Source organism: Homo sapiens, chromosome 9 (assembly GCF_000001405.40).
Source record: "Homo sapiens chromosome 9, GRCh38.p14 Primary Assembly".
NCBI lineage: Eukaryota > Metazoa > Chordata > Mammalia > Primates > Hominidae > Homo > Homo sapiens.
Genome location: NC_000009.12, coordinates 98,156,504 through 98,179,230, shown reverse-complemented (window position 1 = coordinate 98,179,230; position 22,727 = coordinate 98,156,504). Strand labels below are relative to the sequence as shown.

Sequence of the window (22,727 nt, the reverse complement as noted above, 5' to 3'; positions counted from 1 at the left end):
CTCAAGTAGGACCTTCCAGAGCCTAGGGAAGGGTTTCTTCCCAGTCCGCAGATGTCAGCGAGACTTTACCGGCACTCAAACAGCAGCCCAAGAGCTGGTTTGATTCGTTCCATTTTACAGATGAGGAAACTGAGGCTTCAGAGTGAACCCAACCAAGAGGCACAGTAAAGTAAAAGGACCAGTAAAGTAAAAGGACCGGTAAAGAGCTAGACTGTGACCACTTTTAGCAGCCATTTGTAGCATCAAGGCCTAGAGATTTGCATTCTCTCCAGGATCTGCCACTGACCAGCCAGGTGACCCTGGACAAGTCACATCCCTTCTCAGGTTCTTGTTTCCTCACCTGCAAAGTGAAGGGTAGACTAGATCATTTCTGCCATCCTTTGAGCTTAAAAATTATCTCCGACTCTCTTCATCTTCTATCCCAATTGCCTCCAAAGTGATCTATGCAAGATGCACATTGGGGTGCAGGAAAAAATATCTAAACAAATAGAACAAAGAATTCAGCTTTAGTCACATTTGCCAGGTGGAGACACACTCGCCAGCTGGGGTGTCAGGCAGCCTCATGTGGTCCAGGAGTCTCCTGTCTCATGTGGTCCAGGAGTCTCCAGAGAGAAGGGGAAACACTCTGAGAAAGGGTAATGAGGACTCCCTTACTCTTTAGTCTGTTTTTGGCAAGTTATCCCAATTAATTAACCTGGTTTATTAATCCAGGTTAATCCAGACTAATTAATCCAGATTGGATTTACAAATTATATTCACCACTCTAAGCTAACTAGCGCTTACAGAATGGACACGTGGTTTTTAAAGATTCGTACTGAAAAATTGTGACTTGTTAGCAGTGCTTACTTACTATGCTAATAATGCTAGTACATGAAGACAAGGGAATGGAAGAGGTTGAGTGCTGGCCTGTAATCCCAGTACTTTGGGAGGCCAAGGCGAGAGGATCACTTGAGGCTAGGAGTTTGATACAAGCCTGGGCAACATAGCAAATCCCCGCCTCAAGGAAAAGTTTAATAATTAGCCGGGCATGGTGGCTCATGCCTGTGGTCCCAGCTACTCAGGAGGCTGAGGCAGGAGGATTGCTTGAGTCCAGGAGTTGGAGGCTACAATGAGCTATGATGGCACCACTGCACTCCAGCCTAGGCGACAGAGCGAGACTCTGTCTCTAAAAAAATGTTTTTAATAAAAATAAATTTAAAAAAGAAAAAAAGTGAGAGAATTAACACTGGGGTTTCTATTGCAGTCACTTCATCAGCTACAAGACCCAGGACAAAAACAGTGACAAGCTAATAAGTCTGACAAGTTTGTCAGCTCAAGTTTGTTTGTTTGTTTATGTTAGGGGACACTTTGAAATAGATATTTACAGTCACTCTGGTTAGTGATGAATCTCACTCTGTGTATACGTTTTGTCTTGCGAGGTTGATGATGATTACTTGTATATAATATAAGATAATGGGGTGTGAGCACAGTTTGTTTTTTTTTTTTCTTGTGGAAGGAGTGAATGATCAAAAAAGTTTGGAGATCACCTGAGGTCAGGAGTTCGAGACCAGCCAGGCCAACATGGTGAAACCCCATCACTATTAAAAATACAAAAAAATTTGCCGGGTGTGGTGGCACATGCCTGTAATCCCAGTTTCTCTGGAGACTGAAGCAGGAGAATCGCTTGAATCTGGGACACAGAGGTTGTGGTGAGCCAAGATTGTGCCACTGCACTCCAGCCTGGGTCTCCAGCAGAGCCAGACTCTGTCTCAAAAAAAAAAAAAAAAAAAAAAACAAAGTTTGGAGCCCATTGCTCTAACCTCCTGGTCTTTTCCTTGCTCCTGCTACCTCTAACACGCCACCACGTTTGTGATCAAGCGTTGCTCCAGTAGGGATTTCCCTATTTTTCTACCCATTCCCAAGGGGAGAGACCCCATGGGAATACCTCCATCCACAGAGCCCAGCACAGGGGCTATCTCCAGCTGGGGACTTGGAAAATGTGGGTGGAGTGAATGTGCTCCAGGTTTCCCCTCACATCGTGGGGGCTGCTGATGCTCTGCCGGCCTTTCTAGCAGAAAAGACCTAAGGTCTGCCATCATTCCCAGCCTAAAGCACTCTCTGGAGAAACACAGTTCACCTTTCAAAGGTGTGAGTCCAGGAGAGCCTAGATAAGGCCAATGACCCTTGAGCTCACAATTATAAGGCCTTTCTTTCCTAACCATCTTTGGAATTTGTCCCTCCACAAACGAGTTTCCACTATTACTTAGAGCAACACAGATAAGGAACAAAAATGTTTGGTACTGTATCCAGGTACAGGAAGACAGGACTCTGTTCTGTGTTTTAGCGTACTCTTTTGGACTGGGAGGCTGGAGACCTGGATCTTGTTCCTGGTTCTGCCCTGTGTGGGTGGCCTTTGGCGTGCTGACTCCATTTCCTCTTTCTGTACCCCACGATCTCTTGGGGTCTGGCTAGTGCTTTTGTTCTGAGATGTGACATCTGGGATCCTTTTGGGGACCTGCTCTGCTGAGGAGTTCTCAGCCCCCATCTGCAGAGTTCGAGTATAACCTGGAAGATGGGGAGAGCTTGGAGCACATGGGCAACCAAAATGGGGAGGACATGGGAAACCAAGTCACACAAGAAACCCCCACCCCCCAGTGGAGCCATCCCATGGTCCTGAGTTAAGAGGTCTTCAATCTCTGGAAGGCTGTCAAGGGGCAGAAACAATGGATGTGGCTGGCGGGGCTCCAGGAACAGGTAGGGCAGTGGGGAAAATTGTAGATTTCTGTTCAGTAGATGCGAGGAAGTCCACTGGTTGAGCACATCTTCCCCCAGCAGGGGTGAGCTCCCCATCACTAGACTGGTACGAGCCAAAACCATCAGACTGTTTACGTGGGGTGCTGGGGAAAGAAGGGCAGAATTCTGGGGTATTGTATTTGGTGCTTACCCCTAGATGTAATATGATTTGGGAGAGAATTAGTGGGTCTGGCTAAAAACTGAAGAATTAGAGCTTTAGATTCTAAATCAACACTCATGGGTTGATAAGGGGCACAAGGCTTTCTCTGCTTTCATTCGGTTCAGAGGGTTTTGGTGCCTCCCAGCACAGGTGACACCCCTCACCCCCCGCCGAATGTTTAGATCTTTTGATATTGCCGCTTTGAGGAAAAATAAAGGACCATGAACACTTTGTGCTTCTAGTTTAATCTGTAAGCCCTGCTCAAAGCCCATATTCATTTTTATTAAATGTTCATTTCAATCCATGAATACAGGTAAATAGCTTAGGACAGTGCCTGGCTCACAGTGAGTACTCAATAAAGGTTACCATTATTTACTTATTTTGAGTTTAGTTATTTAACAAATACTTACTTTGAGTTTACCATGTGCCAGGCTGGGTTCTAAGTGCTTGACAGATATTAACTCATTTATGGTTATCATCCCCATTTTATGGATGAGAAAACCCAAGGCCAAGAGAGGTAGATAACTGGCCCAATGTCTCCCAGCTGGTGTGTGGCAGGGCTGATGTCTGAGCCCGGCAGGCAGGTTCCCTACCATGTCAGTAGCCACTGTGCTGCTGCCTCTCCATGCGATTGTGTTGTGTAATAAATAAACCAGCCCCTCTGCATCCATTCTTCCTCAGAGCCTCCCTACAGCCTCTGGAAGGTGACAGGCAGGGATGCCCATGCCCATTTAATGGGTTGAGACACTGGAGCCCAGAGAGGGGCTTTCACAGCATCGCACAGCAAAAGGGGGCAGAGCCTACTGGAGCCGGGTCACTGGGCTTGGAATATCTATGTGCCCTCCCTGCACAGAGCAGGGCTCCCTGCTGAAGCCCAGTGGGAGTTGGTGCTAATTAGGGGGTCCCTGGTCCCTCAAGGGGCCCTTCCTTCACCAGGAGGAGGGAGGTTGGTGGGAAGAGCCACGACTCTGCCAGGGGCCTGGGGAAATATCGTCCAGGCATGTCCTGAAGCAGGGAGGCTCCTGGTGTCTGGGGAAATAGCAAGGCCTCCCCACCCTACCGAGCCCCTCTGCTGGGGCCCTGGCAGAGATGGCCCTGAATAGCCAGGAGTGAAAGGGGAAGCAGACAGGGAGGGCCATCCCGCACCCCACCCCCTGCTTTTGAAGTCACATCAGGGACCAACTCTAAGGTCAAGGGTCAGGAAGGGCTAAAAGAATAGGAGCTCTGTGGAAATCAACATGGAAGCAGAGATGTAGCTGCCAGGGAGTTCAGGAAAGCTGTGGGCTGATACCTAAGTGCTGTCATTTCTCTTTTCTTTATTATTTTTTTAATGATGGTGATATATACATAGCAAAGTTTACGATTTTAACCATTTTTAAGTATACAATTCCGTGGCATGACGTACATTCCCATTGTGCAGCCATCTGTATTAGTCCACTCTCACACTGCTATAATGACATACCTGAGACTGGGTAATTTATAAAGGAAAGAGGTTTAATTGACTCACAGTTCCACATGGCTGGGGAGCCTCAGGAAACTTACAATCATGACGGAAGGTGAAGGGGAAGCTGGCACCTTCTTCACAGGGCTGCAGGAGGGAGATAACTCGCAGGGGAAACTGCCACTTTTCAACCATCAGATCTCATGAGAACTCCCTTAGTAATACCAGAACAGCCTGGGGGAAACCGCCTCCATGATCCAATCACCTCTCACCAGGCCCCTCCCTCCACACTTGGGGATTACAATTCAAGATGAGATTTGGGTGGGGACACAGAGCCAAACCATATCACCATCACTGCCAAGATTTTTACATTTTGATTTCACAGTAGCCTACTCTATTATTTAATGTTTTTGTTTACATGTGTCAATGAAGAGCTTATGTTCAGACTGAAATATATTTGACAAAACAGGAATATACATGTAGGAGACTAACACCTGGCTGAGCACTTGCCAAGCACTGCTCTGAGGCACTTTATATGAATGAACATCTCCTCTATAAGGTAGGTGCTATCATGGACCCCAGCTTACAGCTTAGGAAACTGAGGCACAGAGAGGTTTAGGAAAGCTACTCAAATGCTTGCCTTGGCCCACTGGTTGCTACCGTTTATTGAGAACTTTACCATGGGCCAGGGCTACACGCTCTTTGGTTTTTTTTTTTTGTTTTTTGTTTTGGCGGTGGGGGGTGGGCGGGGGAACAGAGCTTCACTCTCGTTGCCCAGGCTGGAGTGCAATGGCGCAATCTCGGCTCACAGCAACCTCCACCTCCCAGGTTCAAGCAATTCTCCCTCCCGAGTAGCTGGGATTACAGGCATGCGCCACCACGCCCGGCTAATTTTGTATTTTTAGTAAAGACGGGGTTTCTCCATGTTGGTCAGGCTAGTCTCGAACTCCCGATCTCAGGTGATCTGCCCGCCTCAGCCTCCCAAAGTGCTGAGATTACAGGCGTGAGCCACCACACCCAGACCAAAGGCTACACGCTCTTAAGCTCCTTGCTCATCTCACAGCAACCTGACGATGTGGTATCAAGACTTAGAGAAGGGAAGTGAGTCTGGATTTGGATCCAGGTTTCTCTGACTCTGAAGCCCGTATCTTAAGCACGTGTACTGGGCTGCGAAGCTGTTATGGGACAGCAGACGCAATAGGTGGATTTTGTTCCGGCTGTGGAGCACCATGAGAAGGAGGACGAGGAGGATTGGGACGCCCAGTTCCGGAGTGCTGGCCTCAGAGCATGCAATTTATATGTTGAGAAGAGACTTAAGAAAGCAAGCCAAGGAGCAGAGCCGCAGTGGCCACCGAGTTGGGGGGTGGTTGAGTGCTCATGGAGCCCGTGGATTTTGGACAGGAGTTCCTGCTGCTTATTAATCGTGTAACCTCAGAAAACTGACGCCGCTGCTCTGCAGAGTGCCCCGGCCACACTCACGAAGTGGAGATAATCCTCCGCGCCCCCAGATGGTTGTGAGGGGTAAACTGAGCGATAGTTGTGAATCATAGAGCTGGGCTGTAGAGCAGCGATTCTCAAAGAGTGGCCCCTGGGCCAGCGGCTTCCTAGTCACCGGGAACTTGGTGGAAGTGCAGACTCTCAGCTCTCACCCACGCTGCCGAATCAGAAACTCTAGGGTGGGGCCCAACAATCGGAGTTTGTTTGTTTGTTTGTTTTTTGTAGAGACAGAATCACTGTGTTGCCCAGGCTAGTCTGGAACTCCTGGCCCTAAGCGATCCTCCCACCTCGGCCTCCTAAAGTGCTGGGTTACAAGCGTGAGCCACCACCTGGGTTTGTTTTTTTCCAGCCCTCCAGGTGACTCTGAGCACCCTCAGATGCTCTGCTGTGACACAGCGGGCAAACACATGTAAATGTGATGCTGTCACCTGTCCTCACAGCCAGTCTTGCGGGCAGAAGTGCCTTTCCCACAGGGGCACTGACATCTTTGCTGGACTCTTTTAATCCTCATAAACCCAGGCTGCTGGCACTTGAAATTTGAGAAGGGCAATCAGTCTGGCCTCCTGCCTTTCTGGCCTGCAGGCCCAGCCTGGACAAACAATTTAGGTGGAGCTCCTGGAGGCTGGAAGCAGAGAGGAGGTACCTCACCATCCTCTCCTGCCAGCTGTTGCAGACTCTGCCTGGGGAACTGATTAAGGGTGAGCAGAGGCATTTATCTCCATGTTAACAAGCAGGTGAGAGAGTAGCGGAAAAGAACTTCCCATCCACTTCCCGCTGTGGGGTCGAGCTCAGAAGTGGGGTGTGGGGCTGAGCTTGGAAGTGAGGCATGGGGTCGATCTCAGAAGTGGGGTGTGGGGCTGAGCTTGGAAGTGGGGTGTGGGGTCTCAGAAGTGGGGTGTGGGGCTGAGCTTGGAAGTGGGGTGTGGGGCTGAGCTCGGAAGTGGGGCGTGGGGTCGAGCTCAGAAGTGGGGTGTGGGGCTGAGCTTGGAAGTGGGGTGTGGGGTCTCAGAAGTGGGGTGTGGGGCTGAGCTTGGAAGTGGGGTGTGGGGCTGAGCTCGGAAGTGGGGCGTGGGGTCGAGCTCAGAAGTGGGGTGTGGGACTGAGCTCGGAAGTAGGGCGTGGGGCTGAGCTCAGAAGTGGGGTGGGGGTGCCGAGCTCAGAAGTGGGGTGTGGGGCTTCCAGCATCTGCAGGAGCAGGCAGGCCTTCAGTCATATCTGGGGACTCTTGTCCCAGGGCAGTCACACCCTTTTCCTCCTGAGTCCAAGCACGGAAGGCCTCAGAATTCTCTCCCTCCTCCTCATGGGGTTCCGCAACCCCTCCAGCCCACTGGAGCTGGACATGAAATGAAACCCACTTATTTCTTCCTTCGATACCAGCCCAAAGTTGAGGAAAGAAATCGTTTCCCAGGCTCAATGTCCTGACTTCCTAATTGCAGGGGTTAAGTCTATTTCGGCTCTGACCATGTCACACCCCCAGTTACACACTTTGATGCCTCCCCACTGTCTCAGGTGCCCCCTCCTCAGCACTGCGCCCCCAGCACCTCTCCCAGCGGCAGCCCCATTGCTGGCCTGCATTTGCTCAGACCCAGCCTCCCCACCCCCGCGCTGCAAGCTCCTGGCTCCATCTCCGCACACCACAGACAGGCATGACCTAGCACAGCGCCTTCCACCCCATGCCTCCCCTTCCCTCCTCTGCTGGGCTTGCTCTACTTGGCCTTGAAAGCTCAGCTCAGTCGTATCCTCCCGGGGGCCCTCCCTGACTTCCCAGATTTCCATCTCCCTGCTGCAACTTGCAGCGCTGGCTTTAGCCCTGATGACCCTGAATTGAGCTTGCTGGTTACATGGGGGCCTCCCCCATCCTCTGAGCTCCCCCATAAGTGACGCTGTCTGGGTCTGCCCATGCATCTCCCCTACAGTGCCCAGCATGGCATCAGGCTCAGAGTGGGCACCAATGATGTTGGCTGAACTGACTCTGGGCCCCAGGTCCCTGAGGCAGGCAGAGTGAGGGCTGATTTGTGGGTCCACGCTGAGAACAGAATGCAGGACCCCTGGTTGGATGCCCACCCCAGGACCAGAGTTACAGAGCTTCAGCCCTGCCTCGGGCTGACTGTGGGACGCTAAGCAAGGCGCGCTTCCTCTCTGAGCCTCAGTGTCCCTCTCTGTCCAAAGACAGGTCTGAAAGCTCTGTGCCAGAAAGCGGACAGTGAGCAGGGAGTGGAGCTGCCAGATTTTCAGCCTCCTGGAGGTGTCTTGGAAAATCCCCAGTGATCCTTGTCGCTCGAAACTCCCAGATAAGGAGATTGTGGGGCAATAAACCTGTGTGGAGTTTTGGTCAGGGCTTGATTTGGGGGATTAAACAGAAAGAAGCTCTGCTCTGTCTCCAGAAGGTCCAGGCAGGACAAGACCTTCTCAGGACAGCTGATGGCTGGACAGCTCTGTCGCCCTTGTGGTCCTGTGTGTGTCTGGTGTGTGCAAGCTGCAGCACCCTCCACAGACCGTCCTAACAGGTGGGCAGGGCAGGGCTGTTACTATTATATGGATAGAAACTCAGAAAGCGGGAGAGGGGACGAGATTTGCCCAAGGTGACGGAGCGAATTGGTGTCAGAATTAGGATTCTCGGCCAGGCTCAGTGGCTCACACCTGTAATCTCAGCACTTTGGGAGGCCAAGGTGGGCAGATACCTGAGGTCAGGAGTTCAAGATCAGCTTGGCTAACATGGTGAAGCCCCTTTGCTCTACTAAAAATACAAAAATTAGCCAGGCGTGGTGGTGCACACCTGTAATCCCAGCTACTTGGGAGGCTGAGGCAGGAGAATCACTTGAACCCCAGAGGCAGAGGTTGCAGTGAGCCAAGATCACGCCATTGCACTCCAGCCTGGGTGACAGAGCGAGACTCTGTTTCAAAAAAACAACAACAATAAAAGAATTAGGATTCTCCAGCCTGACCAGCACAACTGCTATGACAGTGATGGGCCCAGCCCCTTGGCTCCTACCACCTCAAGGAGGGGTTCAGAAGAAGCTGCTGGTGTGAGTGAAAGCTCAAGCTGGGAGTCAGGTTGGCCTCCCCCTGGGTACCCACAGGGCTGTAGGTGGGCACAGCAGAAGGGGAGAACCATCTAAGGTTGACAGTCCTATGGGTGTGTTGGTGGGGGAGGAAGGAAGAGAAGGAAAAAACACAGTGGGCAGGAAAGGAGACGAGGGGCGCTTCCATGGGCTGAGCTCCTACTTTGTGCCAGACACATGCAAGGTCTTTTACATACATTATTTCATTTAATCTTCTAGATTCTATGAGAAAAATATGAGGATACTCTAATGCTACGGCACAGAGACAAATAGGGGTCCAGGGCTTGAACTTGGTGCCTTCTTTTTCCCTGCCTTTGGCTACCTCCCCAAATGTCAGGATGGGACCTCATGGGATGGAGAGACTGCTCAGTCTGAGAGCTGGGGAGGCTCCTTGGAGGTGGTTCTGTTGGAGCTGGGCCAGGAAGGTGGGGTGACAGGAAGGGGCATTCTAAGAGCCCTGCTAAGAGCCACCCAGCGACTTACCTGAGCTGGCTTAGTTCTAGGCAGAGGGAAGGGGCATGAGCAAAGACAGATTATCTGGGAAAATGATGCTTTTTTATTTTCTTTTTGCTTCTCCCCTTCTCTTTTGAAAAGCACGATGCTTTGAGGGGAGAGCAGACAGACCAGTTTGTCTCAGAGAACAGGTCTGTGGAGATGAGAAGGAGGTCAAAGACTCAGGGGGAACGTAGGGACCTCAAAACCCAAGTCCAGCAGAGGACTTTATCCTGAGGACAGAGGGGACCCGGGGTGCATTTTAAGGGAAAGTGCAGGGCCAGAGTTGGGGGTGGAATATGCGAGGCCTGAGTCCCCAAGAGAGAAGGCTGCTGAGGCCTTGGCATGGCCTGGGAGAGGGGTAGAGAGCAGGTGGGGGCCGTGGGGGCAGGGCTGGGGAGGAGGCAGGGCAGGAGGAGGTGGCCCGCCCAGGGACGGTGGCTCTGGGCAGTGTCAGATGTGGGGAGGAGGCACTCCCTCAGGCCTAATCTCATCAGGAAGAAAGAGGCCTTGTCTTGGTTTGCTCTCTGACTCAATCTGTACTTCCTGTGGGCCTGCAGAGATGCATCTGTGCTGGACCAGAAGGATGGGCGGCGCGGGGGCGGGGAAGGCGGAAACCTGAGGACGGGACTCTTTGCATTTGCTGTTTGCATTTGCCGGCTGCAGACGGCTTCTGCCTCGCTGGTGATGGTCAAGCCCCAAAGGAGGGTCCCTGGATGGCTGCGCTCTGCTTCCCTGCCTGGGCTGTGCTGATGGAGAAAAAGCAAAGGGCTTCTTCCCCCACCCCTCCACCCCGTCCCAGGTCCCTCAGCACTAGGGCAGGGTGGGGCCTTCTGGCCTCCACCTAGGAGAACCCAGCCCGGAGAGATGCACAAATGCACTCTCTTGGATTCTTTTTGATCAGTAGGAATTGTCAGCTAGCCTTCTGCATGTGTGTGTCTGTTTCCCCATCATCATGGTTTGCACCAGGGGTTGGAACTCTCACGAGCCACTTGGCCCCTGGGAGGCTGCTTCATGCTTTCTGGTTTGGGATTTTTACTTAGATACCCAAAATGCTGGCCTCCCAGCATATACCTGTTGTGTGTTAAATCACATCTCAGTGTCTTGTACACATTGGGACCACAACAATCTTACTAGCCAACGTCTTTTGAACACTAAGTATGCACCAAGCATCACTCTGCATGCTGTGTGTATCACCTTATGTAAGTGTCCAGGAACCCCTGCGAGAGAGTGTGGACCTGTGACTGAACAGCCTGGCTTCAGATTCCAGCCCAGCCACTAACTAGCTATGTGATCTTAGGCAAGTTATATAACCTCTCTGTGCCCTGTTTCCTTATCTTAAAAATGGGGCTATGACAGTACTTGCATGAGGGTTGAGTTGGTATGTGGAACATACTTAACACCTAGTCAGTAATATAGGCGTTAGCTAGTATGTGTATTTGTAGTGCCTGATTTTCCTGGTGAGGAAATAGACACATTAAGTAACTTGCCCAGAGTGGCAGATAGGAAATGATAGGGTGGTGCTGTCCATCAGAACTTTGTTCAGAGATGGGCATGTTGTTTAATTACACTGTTCATTGGGTGTTGCTTGTATGGTTTCATCTGTGATTATGAAGCACATGTGGCTTTTGAGCTCTTGAAATGTTGCTAGTGTGACTAAGGAGCTGGATTTTACACTTTATTTAATTTTAACTTTAATTTAGAAGCCTTGTGGGACTAGAGGTTCTGTGTTGGACAGGGCCGTTTAGAGCCAAGATTAGACCCCTGACAGTCAAGCTCCGGGGCCTGGGCCACCTCTGTGCTCTCCTGCTTCTTTCTTGCTTAAATCTTTTACAATGGAAATTTAAAGACACATACAAAATTAAAGGAAAGATTCAAATGAATCCTCTTGTACCCTCACCCACTTTCAGTAGCCATCAGCAGCCTGTTTCATCTCTACGCACTCATTCCCTCCTCCTCTGTCCAACAACCGCAAGTTATTTTAAGATAAATCCCAGATGTTATATCATTTCATCTGTGAATATTAGGCATCCGTCTCTAAAAGATAAAGACTCTTGTCTAATATAAGCACAGTATTATTACCACACCTAATGACAACAATTCTTTAATACTGTCAGGTGCCCACTCAGCTTTCCCTGATTGCTTCCTGATGCCTTTTTGCAATTGGTTTGTGTGAATCCGGATCCACACAGGATCCACACATTGCACTTCTTGCTGTGCCTCTGATCTCTTAAGTCTCTTCTGAACTGTAATGACCCTTGTCCCTTTTTCCTTGTCATCTTAAAGAAACCGGATCTTTTAAAAAATATATGTATATTTCATTGTACTAAAATACACATAACATAGTATTTGCCATCTAAATCATTCTTAAGTGTACAGTTCAGTGGTATTAAGTACGCTCATACTGCCGTGCAGCCATCACCACCATCCATCTCTAGAACTCTTTATCTTGCAAAACTGAAACTCTATATCCATTAAACAATAACTTTTCATTCCTCCCTACCCTCAGCCCCTGGCAGCCACCATTCTACTTTCTGTCCCTGTGATTTTGCCTACTCAAAGTAACTCATATAAGTGGAATCATGCGCTGTCTTTTTGTAACTGGCTTGTTTCACTTAGCATAATGCCCTCAAAGTTCATCCATGTTACAGCATGTCTCAAGACTTTCTTCCTTTTTCTTTTCTTTCTTTTTTTTTTTTTTTTGAGACAGGATCTTGCTTTATCACCCAGACTGGAGTACAGTGGTATAATCATAGCTTACTGCAGCCTCTAACTCCTGAGCTCAAGTGATCCTCCCACCTTGACCTCCCGAGTAGCTGGGACTACAGGTGTGTGCCACCATGCCCAGCTAATTTTTTTTTTATTTCTAGCAGAGATGAGGTCTTGCTGTGTCACCCAGGCTGGTCTTGAACTCCAGAACCCAAGCGATCCACCTCATCCTCCCAAAGTAGAGTTTTCTTCCTTTTGAAGGTTGAATATTATTCCATGGTTTGAATATACCACATTTTACTGATCCGTTCATCTGTGAACGGACACTTGGGTTGATTCCACATTTAAGCTATTGGGAATAATGCTGCTATGAACATGAGTGTGCAAATATCTCTTCTAGACCCTGCTTTCATTTCTTTAAGGGTGTATATTCCAGAAGTGGAGTTGCTGAATCGTATGATCGTTCTATTTTTAAATTTTTGATGAACTGCCGTACTATCTTTCATAGCAACTAAACCCTTTTGCATTCCTACCAACAGTGCACTAAATCAGATTGTTTCAAATCAAATTGTTTGCTTGCTTGTTGTTGAGTTGTCAGAGTTCTTTATATATTCTCAACATTAACACCTTATCATATGGATTTGCAAATATTTCCTCTCATTCCATATGTTGCCTTTTCACTCTGTTGCTAGTATCCTTAAATACACACAAGTTTTTAATTTCCATGAATACAATTTGTCTATTTTTTTTCTTTTGTTGCCTGTTCCTGGTATCATAACCAAGGAATCATTGCCAAGCCCAATGTTGTGAAGATTTTGCTCTTCGTTTTCTTCTAAGGTTTTTTATAGATTTAGCTCTTCTATTTAGGTCTTTGTTGCATTTTGAGTTAATGTTAGAAACCAGAAAACTTAGCATGTAGGATGTCCTGTGTTTTTTTCCTGATTGTATCTGTGTGGCTGTTAACATGTTTCTCCATACTCTGTGTGCACAGTTACATACAAAGACTCGGTCAACAGTGGGTTTCATTTTTTGGCAAGGCCACTTTATAAGTAGTGTTTCCTGTTGCTTCATGTTAGCAGCACATAATGTCTGGTTATCTCTTTTAGTGATGCTAAGATTGGGCAGTGGGTTCAGGTATTGCCAACCCATCCATTACACCACTGAGTCTCAAACTTGAACCTGGGGGGCTGGTTAAAGCAGAGTGGTGAGCCCCACCCCCAGAATACCTGATTCAGTAGGTCTGGGGAAGGAGGCTTGAGAATTTGCAAATAAAAAGTTCCCTAGTGATATGGTTAATGGGGGACTGCACTTTGAGAACTACTGCATCACATCCATTATGTGTTTCTGTTATCCTTGCTCCTAACATGCGCTGGAATCACATGCACTGGAAGCTTAAGCAGTGCTGGCATCTGGGTCCCCCACCCAGTAATCTGATTTAAGTGATTCTAATGTGCAAAGTTGCAAGCCACTGCCCTGCATGTTAGCAGTCCCTCAAGGTCACACCATCTCATCTCTTTCTGCTCTTGGTCATTTCCCTGAGAGGTATGAACATGTGGAGAGCAGTGACTGAATTATTCATCTCTGACCCCTCCGAGCCCTGCTCCTGACACGGCTTGGCGCAGAATAAGCACCAAGTCAATATCAGATGAAGATTGGAGATTGAATGAAATCCTCTTCACCTCTCTCTATAAAGCTTCCTGGATTATTCTGCTTTGAAATTTCTATTCTATGGTTCGGTATGTTGGGCCCTTTAAGAAATGGATTCTAGAGCCTCCTCTCTCGCAGACAACTTGACAAAGTCAGGGCTACCAGGAATTTACAATAGAATTGTTACGTGTAAGCCAGGCACGGTGGCTCACGCCTGTCATCCCAGCACTTTGAGAGGCTGAGGTGTGAGGATCGCCTGAGGCCAGGTGTTCAAGACCAGCCTGGCAACAGAGTGAAACCCTGTCTTTACAAAAAAATTAGCCAAGCACGGTGGTACATGCTTGTTCTTAGCTATGCAGGAGGCTGAAGCCAGAGGATTGCGCAAGCCCAGGAGGTTGAGGCTGCAGAGAGCACTGATCACGCCTCTGCACTCCAGCCTGGGTAGCAAAGTGAGGCCCTATCTCAAAAAAAAAAGAATTGTTACACCTAGACCCTGGTGGTGGTGGTAGTGGTGGGAGAGTGACCAACTTATCCCTGTTTGCCTAAGTAAGACTTCCCCCAGTTTAGCGCTGTAAGTCCTGCCTCCCTGGAACCCCTCCACAATCCGAGGCAAACCAAGACAGTTAGTTGCCCTACTTCTGTGGAGAGCGGCAAGGACCCTTTTTGCTTTGAAGGAGGGAGGAAAAATTACCCTGTGGGGTGAGACTGTTAGGTCCTAGCACACTGGATCCCACTGTATCACTTCAGACCTTGTTGCTGGCCGGTGCAAGGCAAAAGTTAAGACACCTCGTGCCAAGAGGTGGTGGTTTAAACCAGGGTCTGGCCTTAGATTCACAGAGCCCAGTTGTGATAAAACCCTTACAGAGGAGAAGTAGCTGAGCCTTGTATTTTTTTCTTCCTGCCTGGTGAGAAAGGAAGATGCTGTGGGAAATGGTTACCCAGAGGCCTAGGTTGGCAGCAGGGTGGCCTTATCCTCCATGGGCTTTGATTTCAGAGCCAGATATCCCACTCGCAATGGGTGGATCAGAGACCCCATAAGGATTCTGGATGACTGAAAAGAGCTTTCCCAGCAAGTTTAGGGCCAAGGCCAGGATCAAGATAAACTGTGATGGATAATAGTGGGTCAGGGATTGGAGTCCAGGTGAGGGACCCACCCATGATGAGACGTGTATTGTGTGAATTCTCAGCCTTTGTAGAGCACCTTCACATAGAGCGTTCTTTATCCTGATTAACAGTAACCTCTTTTCGGTTTTTGAAATAACTGGGTAACTTGTGGTTCTAATCTTCCCTAACTGTGGCTGTGACATAAGTGTGGTGGTTCAGACCCTCTCACCAGGCACTTACAGGTGGCAGCTCACTGTGCCCACAAGTCAAATTTTAAGAGAGAGAACAGATAAAACTTCAAATATTATATGTGAAACCACAAATTTACGAAGGGGCACTGGTAGCCAGCAATGCCTACCCATCCTGTTCAAAGACCAAATCAGGTCATTTCATTCTTTCCTTAAAGCCACAAACAGTACAATTAATGAATAATCTATTATAATGGTTTGCACCACGCCCAGTTTGGGTTCAGTTTCAGCCACCCTGCAGCTAACCCTTGTCCTGCAATGAGTTTAGGGCTGGGTAAAGAAGAGGGGCCTTTGGAACAGGCAGGAAACTCTCTCTGTCTCTTTCTCTCTCTCTCTCTCTCTCTCTCTCTCTCTCTCACACACACACATACACACACACACACACACCCCGCATGTATGTCAAGAAAGGAGCATATTGCATAGCAGGAAGAGGGGTCTCTCAACTAGTCCTCAGACTACTTCCCACCTGCACTGCTCATCATAACATGACTTCAGTCTAGTCACTTCCCTTGCACCCCAGTTTTCCCATCATCAAATGGGGGAAAATAATCCCCACCTACCTTGCAGGAGAGTTGTGAGCCACTGTCAGGTGTTAAGAAATAAACTCAAGGCCGGGCACAATGGCTTACGCCTGTAATCTCAGCACTTAGGGAGGCCAAGGTAGGCGGATCACCTGAGGTCAGGAGTTTGTGACCAGCCTGGGCAACTTGGCAAAACCCTGTCTCTACTAAAAATACAAAAATTAGTGGGGCACAGTGGCATGCGCCTGTTATCCCAGCTACTCTGGAGGCTGAGGCAGGAGAATCGCTTGAACCCAGGAGGCAGAGGTTGCAGTGAGCTGAGATAGCACCACTGCACACTCCAGCCTGGGCAACAGAGCGAGACTCCGTCTCAAAGAAAAAAAAAGAAATAAACTCAGTGCGATGCAAAACCCAGAGATGACTACATCCTTTCTGGGAGTTGGGAATTCACAGGCCCCGGAGCCTAATCCCATGGCATCAGGCCCACCAAGCCTGCATGGGATCACAGCAGCAGAATGGATGCCACCTCCCGCCTTGTGCCCAGCAGGCTGTCCCAGAGTGCCACACCTGAGAATGCCTGTTGTGGCTTTGATGTGGGCCCAGCCAGATGGAATGGGGCAGGATAAGATGAGTGGCCTGGGATAGACCTGGCTCGAATCGGCTGTTCTGGCCCAGCCTGTAGGCGAAGGGCCCGCTACAGTACTCACTTGTGGGCAAGTGCCTGCTTGTAGGGAAAATGAACTCCTGTTCTCTGAATTACTGAGTCATTAAAGTCATGCATGCACGGATACACGCATGCGCTCATGCATGTGTATATACACAGCCTCAGTTAAACATCCAAAGGGATGCACACGTGCATGCACACCCACAAAACGACACAGGCGCTCATGAACTTCCTGATGAATGCAGTTCTTGTGCACACACAGTACGCACACAGGCCAGCACGCATGCACAAGCTTCACCCATGCATATACACATACACTTCCATGCCACATACAAAGGGAGAGGTAGCTGGCCTTGCTAGCGGCTGCCCCACCCCCTACTTGTGAAGTTTCCCTTCATGACAGCAGGTCTGGAAGAATCTTAGCAGTGCAAATAAGAGTTAGGGTGGGGAGAGGATTGGGGGACGGACAGAAGGGCACTGATGTTCACGCTCTTTTGCTGTCAGCTGGCTTCATCCGTGGGGAAGTGGGGAGCCTTTCCAGAGGGTTCTAGCTAGCTTCCTGGGCCTCATTTTCCTTCTCTGTAGAGTGGAAGTGATCATGATCATGACAGTTCCTCTTAGGGACAGAGGTGAGATCCAGGGCTGTGATGGGTCTGAAAGAGCTATTGTCATCATGGGTATTGTCTGTGAGGACCTGGAGCTGCAGGCTCAAAAGCTGCAGGCTTGAGACAGCTGAGTGCAGCCCCCAGGCCTGCTGTTCACTAGCTGTGTGACCCGGTTACTGGCCTGAACACCTACATCTGAACGGGGGAGCAAGGTAGCACCCACTTGCTCTATTCATGCATGGAAAGCATTTGGAATGGCGCCTGGCAGCTTGTAAGCACTCAAAAACCATGACTTCTTATTGCCACAGAGGTGACTGTGAGCTCCAGGGGAGGTGTTGCCCAGGCCTCTCACGGCCTCCTCACTCCTCCTGGATGGAGAGTGGCTCTCAGGAGTTGGGCCAGACCCCAGGTACCCCCTACAGGTGCACAGACAGGCTGTGGAGGGAGACAGCTCAGAGGGTCCGGAAGGGGCCAGGGCTGTTGTTAATGTAAGCTCATGTCGATTTCAGCGACTACCCCAGGCCCGCCACATGCACTCAGGCACCACATTTGGTTGATCCCACCTCCTTGGTATTTCAGTAACATCCTCTCCCCACCATCCCGTCCACTTCACTGCCCTACTCCAGCCCGGGTGACCATTGCCTCTTACCTGCTCTATCCTTTCCTCTGCTCAGGAATCAGAGGAAAACCTGAAAATTAAATCTGGTCCTCTATCTCCCCTGCTTTATTTATTAGAATTATTATTAATTATTTTTGAGACAGATTATCACTCTGTTCCCTAGGATGGAGTGCAGTGGTGCGATCTTGGCTCGCTGCAACCTCCGCATTCCCGGTTCAAGTGATTCTCCTGCCTCAGCCTCCAGAGTGGCTGGGACTACAGGCGCGCGCCACCACACCCGGCTAATTTTTGTATTTTCAGTAGAGACGGGGTTTCACCATGTTGGCCAGGCTGGTCTCGAACTCCTGACCTCAAGTGATCCCCCCACCTCAGCCTCCCAAAGTGCTGGGATTACAGGTGTGAGCCACCGTGCCCAGCTTCTCCCCTCCTTTAATTTCTCCAGTAGCTCCCCACTGCCCTCAGAGTCCGGGTATCTGAGATGATCTGGGTCCTGCCTCCTCCTCTGTGGCCACACCAAGCACAGGCAGCCACTTGCCATCTCCATGGGCCGGACTTGCATAGGCTGTATGAATCAGGATGGGTCGCTGTCCTCCATGACAAATAACCCCTTATCTCATGGTTCACTCTACAAGTGTATTTCTCTGTTGCACTGTATGTCAGTAGAAGAAAGTGCTCTGCTACACATGGTTCCTGAGGGACCAACTACCTTATAGATGCACCATCTGAAACATGCACCCTTCTCATCCCTTTGGCCAAGGACGAGAGTCCTAGAGGGTCACAGGCAGGTCTCATGTGCTTTGGCCTGGAAGTGACACACATCACTGCCTCCCATGATCCACTGGCTAACGGGTCATAGGAGGCAGTGATGTGTGCTATGGCTGCCTGACTGGAAGGGGCCTGGACATGAGGGGAGCAATGGGACGTCTGGTGAGCATCACCAGCTGCCACAGACAGGTGCACTCCCGCCACCCCCAGCAGTTGCTCAAGGTGAGGGAGGAGTGGGGGGGCCTGGAGCGGAGCCTGCTGATTTGCTCCTTGCTTTCCCACCCGAGCCCAGGCCCAAGGTGGCTCCTCCACTGCCACCAAGTTGCCAAGACCCTAGGGAGGTCATTTGTCCTTGTTGTTTCTTTCCAAGGGGACCCCCAGTACCCATTTCTCTCAAAACTCACTATAGAGAAAAGATGTGCTGCTCCTTAGCAACTTGTGGCTTTTATCTTATAGACACCAAATAAATCCCTTTCTGATTCTCTTTTCCTTGTTGAATTGGCCACTAGGAAGCTCAGAGCCAAATCTGAGGTCTACCTCCTCTGTGTGGTGGACCTGGCCGCACACCTAGCTTAACTCCTCCTGCGTTTCAGGTGATCTCTTTTTACCTGCATTTTCCTTGTGTCCCTATTTTTTCTCTTGTAGCTTTTTCATTTCCTTCTATCTTGTGTTCTATTTTTGTGAGTCTTCTTAAATCCTTTCTGGAATCACATGGGCATTAATTAGTCAGTCCATCCCTACATTCTGTGCAGCTTCCTGTAGCTCTGGCAAATGCAGCCAGGGTTTAGGGCAAAGCTCCCGAAAGGAGAGTTGGAATTTCTGAGCTTTATGGGATACACAAGCCCCTGCAAGACTGACGTGCTACCTGGTGCTGTCTAAAGGGCTTGCCTCAGGGGTCAGGCCCTTATCGCTATGACTTGCCTGAGGTCACACAGTGTAATCTCGTTCTGAGGAATTGAGCACAGAGAAGAGCCTCATGGGTCAGCCGTGTGGGCTGGGTGAGCATCTTCTTTATCTTGACCAGCGTAGGCCCAGCCAAACCTGCCTTCCCCTAAGTGGGGAAGGTGGGGGCCCAAGGGGGATAGACACTGTGCTGGACACTCCTGGAGCAGAGCCTTCTCTGAGGAAGCTCCAAGCCAGCAGAGAAAATGAGAACTGACCCTGAACCCCAAATCAGGGTAGACAGTGTCAAGGGCTAAAGGCAAGGGGAGAGGTGGCTGTCAGGGAACAGAGGAGAGCGAGATCTCTGCTACTTGGGATATCAAGGAGGACTCTCTGGAGGAAGTGGCTTGGGAGCTAGGGAAGGGGCGGATTTGGATTTGTGGAGATGGGAACAGGAGGTGGGGGCATGGGAATGGCAAGCCAAGCAGAAGGAGAGGGACGGGCAAAGAGCCAGAGGGCTGGAGATGCAAGAGCAGGTGCTGGGGAAGCTGGAAGGTGCCGTTTAGATGAGCTAGAAGAAAAGAATCTTGGAATATGGAATGAGACCCAGCCAGAGGCCTTGAATGCCAAGCCAAAGGATTTGGCCTTGATCCTGTAGGGCAGCAATGAATGGGCAGCATCAGAGGGTGATGTGAGGCCAGGGGCAGTGGCTCACGCCTTTAATCCCAACCTTTGAGAGGCAGCTACAGGAGAATTGCTTGAGATCAGGAGGTTGAGACCAGCCTGGGCAACATGGCAAGAAAAAAAATTTTTTTAATTAGCCAGGTATGGTGGCATGTACCTGTAGTCCTAGCTACTTGGAAGGCTGAGGCAGGAGGATCCTTGAGGTCAGGAGTTTGAGGCTGCAGCGAGCTATGATCACACCACTGCACTCCAGCCTGGGTGACAGAGCGAGATCCTTCCTCAAAAATAATAATAAATAAAGGGTGATATGAGGTGGGGGTGGGGTGGTGAGGGCTTGGTATTCAGAAGGGTCCGTCTGGCCAAGAGGAGGCCCCCTGGTATTATGGGTATGGGTTTGGCCATGAAAGAGGCCTAGACCCTCTCACAGGCCACTTGTGATCTGGCTCTCCTCGCCCCTCTGGCTTGTATTCTCTTCATTCACGTTACCCAATATACATGGTGTGTGTGTGTGTGTGTGTGTGTTTTCTTCTTTTTAATTTCTCTTTGATAATCTTACTAAACCACATGTGGTTCCCCCAAACTGTTCTATCTGCCTAAGACACCTTCCCCCAGCTCTCCCTCATCCTGCCTACATGACCAACTCCTACTCATCCTCCAAGTCACTGTTTAGTTGTCACTTCCTTTGAGAAGCCCTCCCTGACTGTCATGTGCGAATCTCTGTTATTACCCATAGTACAGTCGGTCCCAGTGGCCCAGACTCTCCTAGTAGCCTCACCCAGAGGACTCTTCACTCCTGTAAAGGCTGGGCTCAGGCCTACTGTTTCCAAACTCCCTGGTACCTGGCACAGGGCCTAGACACACAGTGATGCTCGGTAAATATTGAGTGAACAAATATAAGGCTGGACGAGGAGCAAAGCAAGCTGAAGATGCCCAGATGATACTAGTGGCTGTGATTGCCACTGTTGATCAAGTATCTGCCATGCACCAAGGGGTCTAAATACATCATCTAACTTAATCCTTATGACAAGGCTATGAGGCAGATACTTTTTTCAATCTCTCTCTCTTTTATTTTTTTTTTAGAGACAGGGTCTCACTGTGTTGCCCAGGCTACATTTGAACTCCTGGGCTCAATCAGTCCTCCTGCCTTGGCCTCCCAAAATGCTGGGATTACAGGCATGAGCTGCCATGCCTAGCTGAGATGGATACTTGTGTTACCTCATTTTACAGATGGAGAAACTGAGACTCCAGAGGTTAAGTCACTTGCCATCCAGCTGATAAGAGACAGAGCTGGGATTGAAACCCAGGCAGGCTGGCTCCAGACAGCACATTGGTACCTACTTAGTCGGGCTGAGGGTACTGGGCTGTCTGGTGAAACAGCAGATGGGGGTCAATGTGGTGGATTCTCTCTATGGTTCTTCTGCCTTGTTATATTCACACTCAAAGGGATGAAAAGCCTTAACACATCAGCAAGCAGGTCAGTAATAGCTATGCTTCATCCCATCTTATCTTACCAGGTCTACAGAAGTAACTGTAATTAGAGTCTTTTCACTTGTTTGCCCTTCACAGTGCATCACCGTCCACGTTGAACTGACCACTGTCCTGCTCGTACCCTCTTATGTACTCTTAAGATGAGAGCTCTGTGTGTCCCATGATCAGGGCAGTGAGCCTCATACCCTTTGTCCCATTTGTCTCCTGCAGATGTCATGGCACCCCCAGTACCGGAGCTCCAAGTTCCGTCATGTCTTTGGCAAACCAGCCAGCAAGGAGAACTGCTACGACTCCGTGCCTATCACCCGCAGCGTTCACGACAACCACTTCTGTGCCGTGAACCCCCACTTCATTGCAGTTGTGACTGAGTGTGCTGGTGGAGGGGCCTTCCTCGTCATCCCCCTGCACCAGGTAAGGACACCCCCAGGCCCAAACAGCTCTCTGGAGGCAGGGCAGGACAGAGGGAAAGTGGAAAGAGCCTGGGTTTCTAGAAAGTCCTAGCCCTGCCCATTACTAGCTGTGTGACCTTGAGTAAGTCATTTCATCTCTTTGAGCCTTGGTTTCCTCACTGGGAAAAATACACCTGTCCTGAATTTTAGCCTCTAGCAGTTGGCTTAGCTACTCGTAGCACCTCTCCTCTTCTCTGCAATATAATTCTGCGAATTTATTTCCTCCTGAATAAAATATAATTTTTTAATGCTTTACTGGGATTACAGGAAATTGGGAAAGTCTCCAAAGCCACCTTCCCCACCAAAAAAAGGGAAACAAACATTGAGTCAAAACTAGCTAGGAGAGGCAAACAGTAAGCAAGCAGGAAGAACAGGCTTTTGTCCTTAGTGCAAGTGTTGCTAGCGTAGGTTGGACCATATAAAATTGTGGATATTCAACTGGTTTGACCCCAAAAAAGCAACATTTTCACATAGATCAACCTAATAGTAGTTCCATTCAGGATGCCAACCCTGAGTCTCTACCTTAAGGCAGAACACCTGAAGGGGCTAGAGGGATCCCAGGTTAGTAGTGCCACTGGCTCACAGCAGAAACTGACATGAAGCCTCTCCAGAGGAAAGCATCCACAATGTGGACAGGATCCCCACAGATTAAACATAGAGAAATATGAATCCACAAAGATCACAAAGCATGTACACCACCATGAGTGAGAGTCAGCTGAAACACAAATAGCAGACTTAGACCCCCAGAGGACTTCAGAAGTTAAAAGATCACGCAGATTAGAATCTCATAGACCAGGTTTCCTGAACACAATGCAATTGAGTTAGAAATCAATAACAAAAGATAAATCTTAAATTCCCATTCATTTGGAAACTTAAAAACTATTTCTAAATAATTTATAGGCCATAAACAAAATCAAA

At 49.4% G+C, this 22,727-nt stretch overlaps 1 protein-coding gene across 3 annotated transcripts in view, besides 7 other annotated features; it reads left to right on the top strand.

The window, feature by feature from the left end:
- Nucleotides 1-22,727, top strand: part of CORO2A (coronin 2A) — a 71,663-nt gene that overhangs the window by 13,407 nt on the left and 35,529 nt on the right. For 2 of the 3 annotated variants that reach the window (NM_052820.4, XM_011518986.4), the window contains exon 2: nt 21,571-21,771. In NM_052820.4, the coding sequence (NP_438171.1) occupies nt 21,571-21,771 (201 nt within the window). Of the gene's footprint in view, nt 1-6,338; nt 6,605-21,570; nt 21,772-22,727 lie in introns of those variants that run through there. The other variant, NM_003389.3, reaches the window with a different exon arrangement.
- Nucleotides 4,430-4,724: an enhancer, noted in NCBI's record as "tiled region #7304; K562 Activating DNase unmatched - State 5:Enh". NCBI's record gives its function as "activates a minimal TATA promoter and a strong SV40 promoter by Sharpr-MPRA in K562 cells {active_cell/tissue: K562}" and the evidence as "EXISTENCE:reporter gene assay evidence [ECO:0000049][PMID:27701403]".
- Nucleotides 4,809-5,642: an enhancer, noted in NCBI's record as "H3K4me1 hESC enhancer chr9:100935871-100936704 (GRCh37/hg19 assembly coordinates)". NCBI's record gives its function as "activates a minimal SCP1, AML or CMV promoter by ChIP-STARR-seq in naive H9 embryonic stem cells {active_cell/tissue: H9 hESC(naive)}" and the evidence as "EXISTENCE:reporter gene assay evidence [ECO:0000049][PMID:30033119]".
- Nucleotides 7,315-8,150: an enhancer, noted in NCBI's record as "H3K4me1 hESC enhancer chr9:100933363-100934198 (GRCh37/hg19 assembly coordinates)". NCBI's record gives its function as "activates a minimal SCP1, AML or CMV promoter by ChIP-STARR-seq in naive H9 embryonic stem cells {active_cell/tissue: H9 hESC(naive)}" and the evidence as "EXISTENCE:reporter gene assay evidence [ECO:0000049][PMID:30033119]".
- Nucleotides 9,669-9,818: a silencer, noted in NCBI's record as "silent region_20116". NCBI's record gives its function as "represses an Ori minimal core promoter by ATAC-STARR-seq in GM12878 lymphoblastoid cells {active_cell/tissue: GM12878}" and the evidence as "EXISTENCE:reporter gene assay evidence [ECO:0000049][PMID:35858748]".
- Nucleotides 10,099-10,288: an enhancer, noted in NCBI's record as "active region_28693". NCBI's record gives its function as "activates an Ori minimal core promoter by ATAC-STARR-seq in GM12878 lymphoblastoid cells {active_cell/tissue: GM12878}" and the evidence as "EXISTENCE:reporter gene assay evidence [ECO:0000049][PMID:35858748]".
- Nucleotides 16,253-16,753: an enhancer, noted in NCBI's record as "H3K4me1 hESC enhancer chr9:100924760-100925260 (GRCh37/hg19 assembly coordinates)". NCBI's record gives its function as "activates a minimal SCP1, AML or CMV promoter by ChIP-STARR-seq in primed H9 embryonic stem cells {active_cell/tissue: H9 hESC(primed)}" and the evidence as "EXISTENCE:reporter gene assay evidence [ECO:0000049][PMID:30033119]".
- Nucleotides 19,100-19,600: an enhancer, noted in NCBI's record as "H3K27ac hESC enhancer chr9:100921913-100922413 (GRCh37/hg19 assembly coordinates)". NCBI's record gives its function as "activates a minimal SCP1, AML or CMV promoter by ChIP-STARR-seq in primed H9 embryonic stem cells {active_cell/tissue: H9 hESC(primed)}" and the evidence as "EXISTENCE:reporter gene assay evidence [ECO:0000049][PMID:30033119]".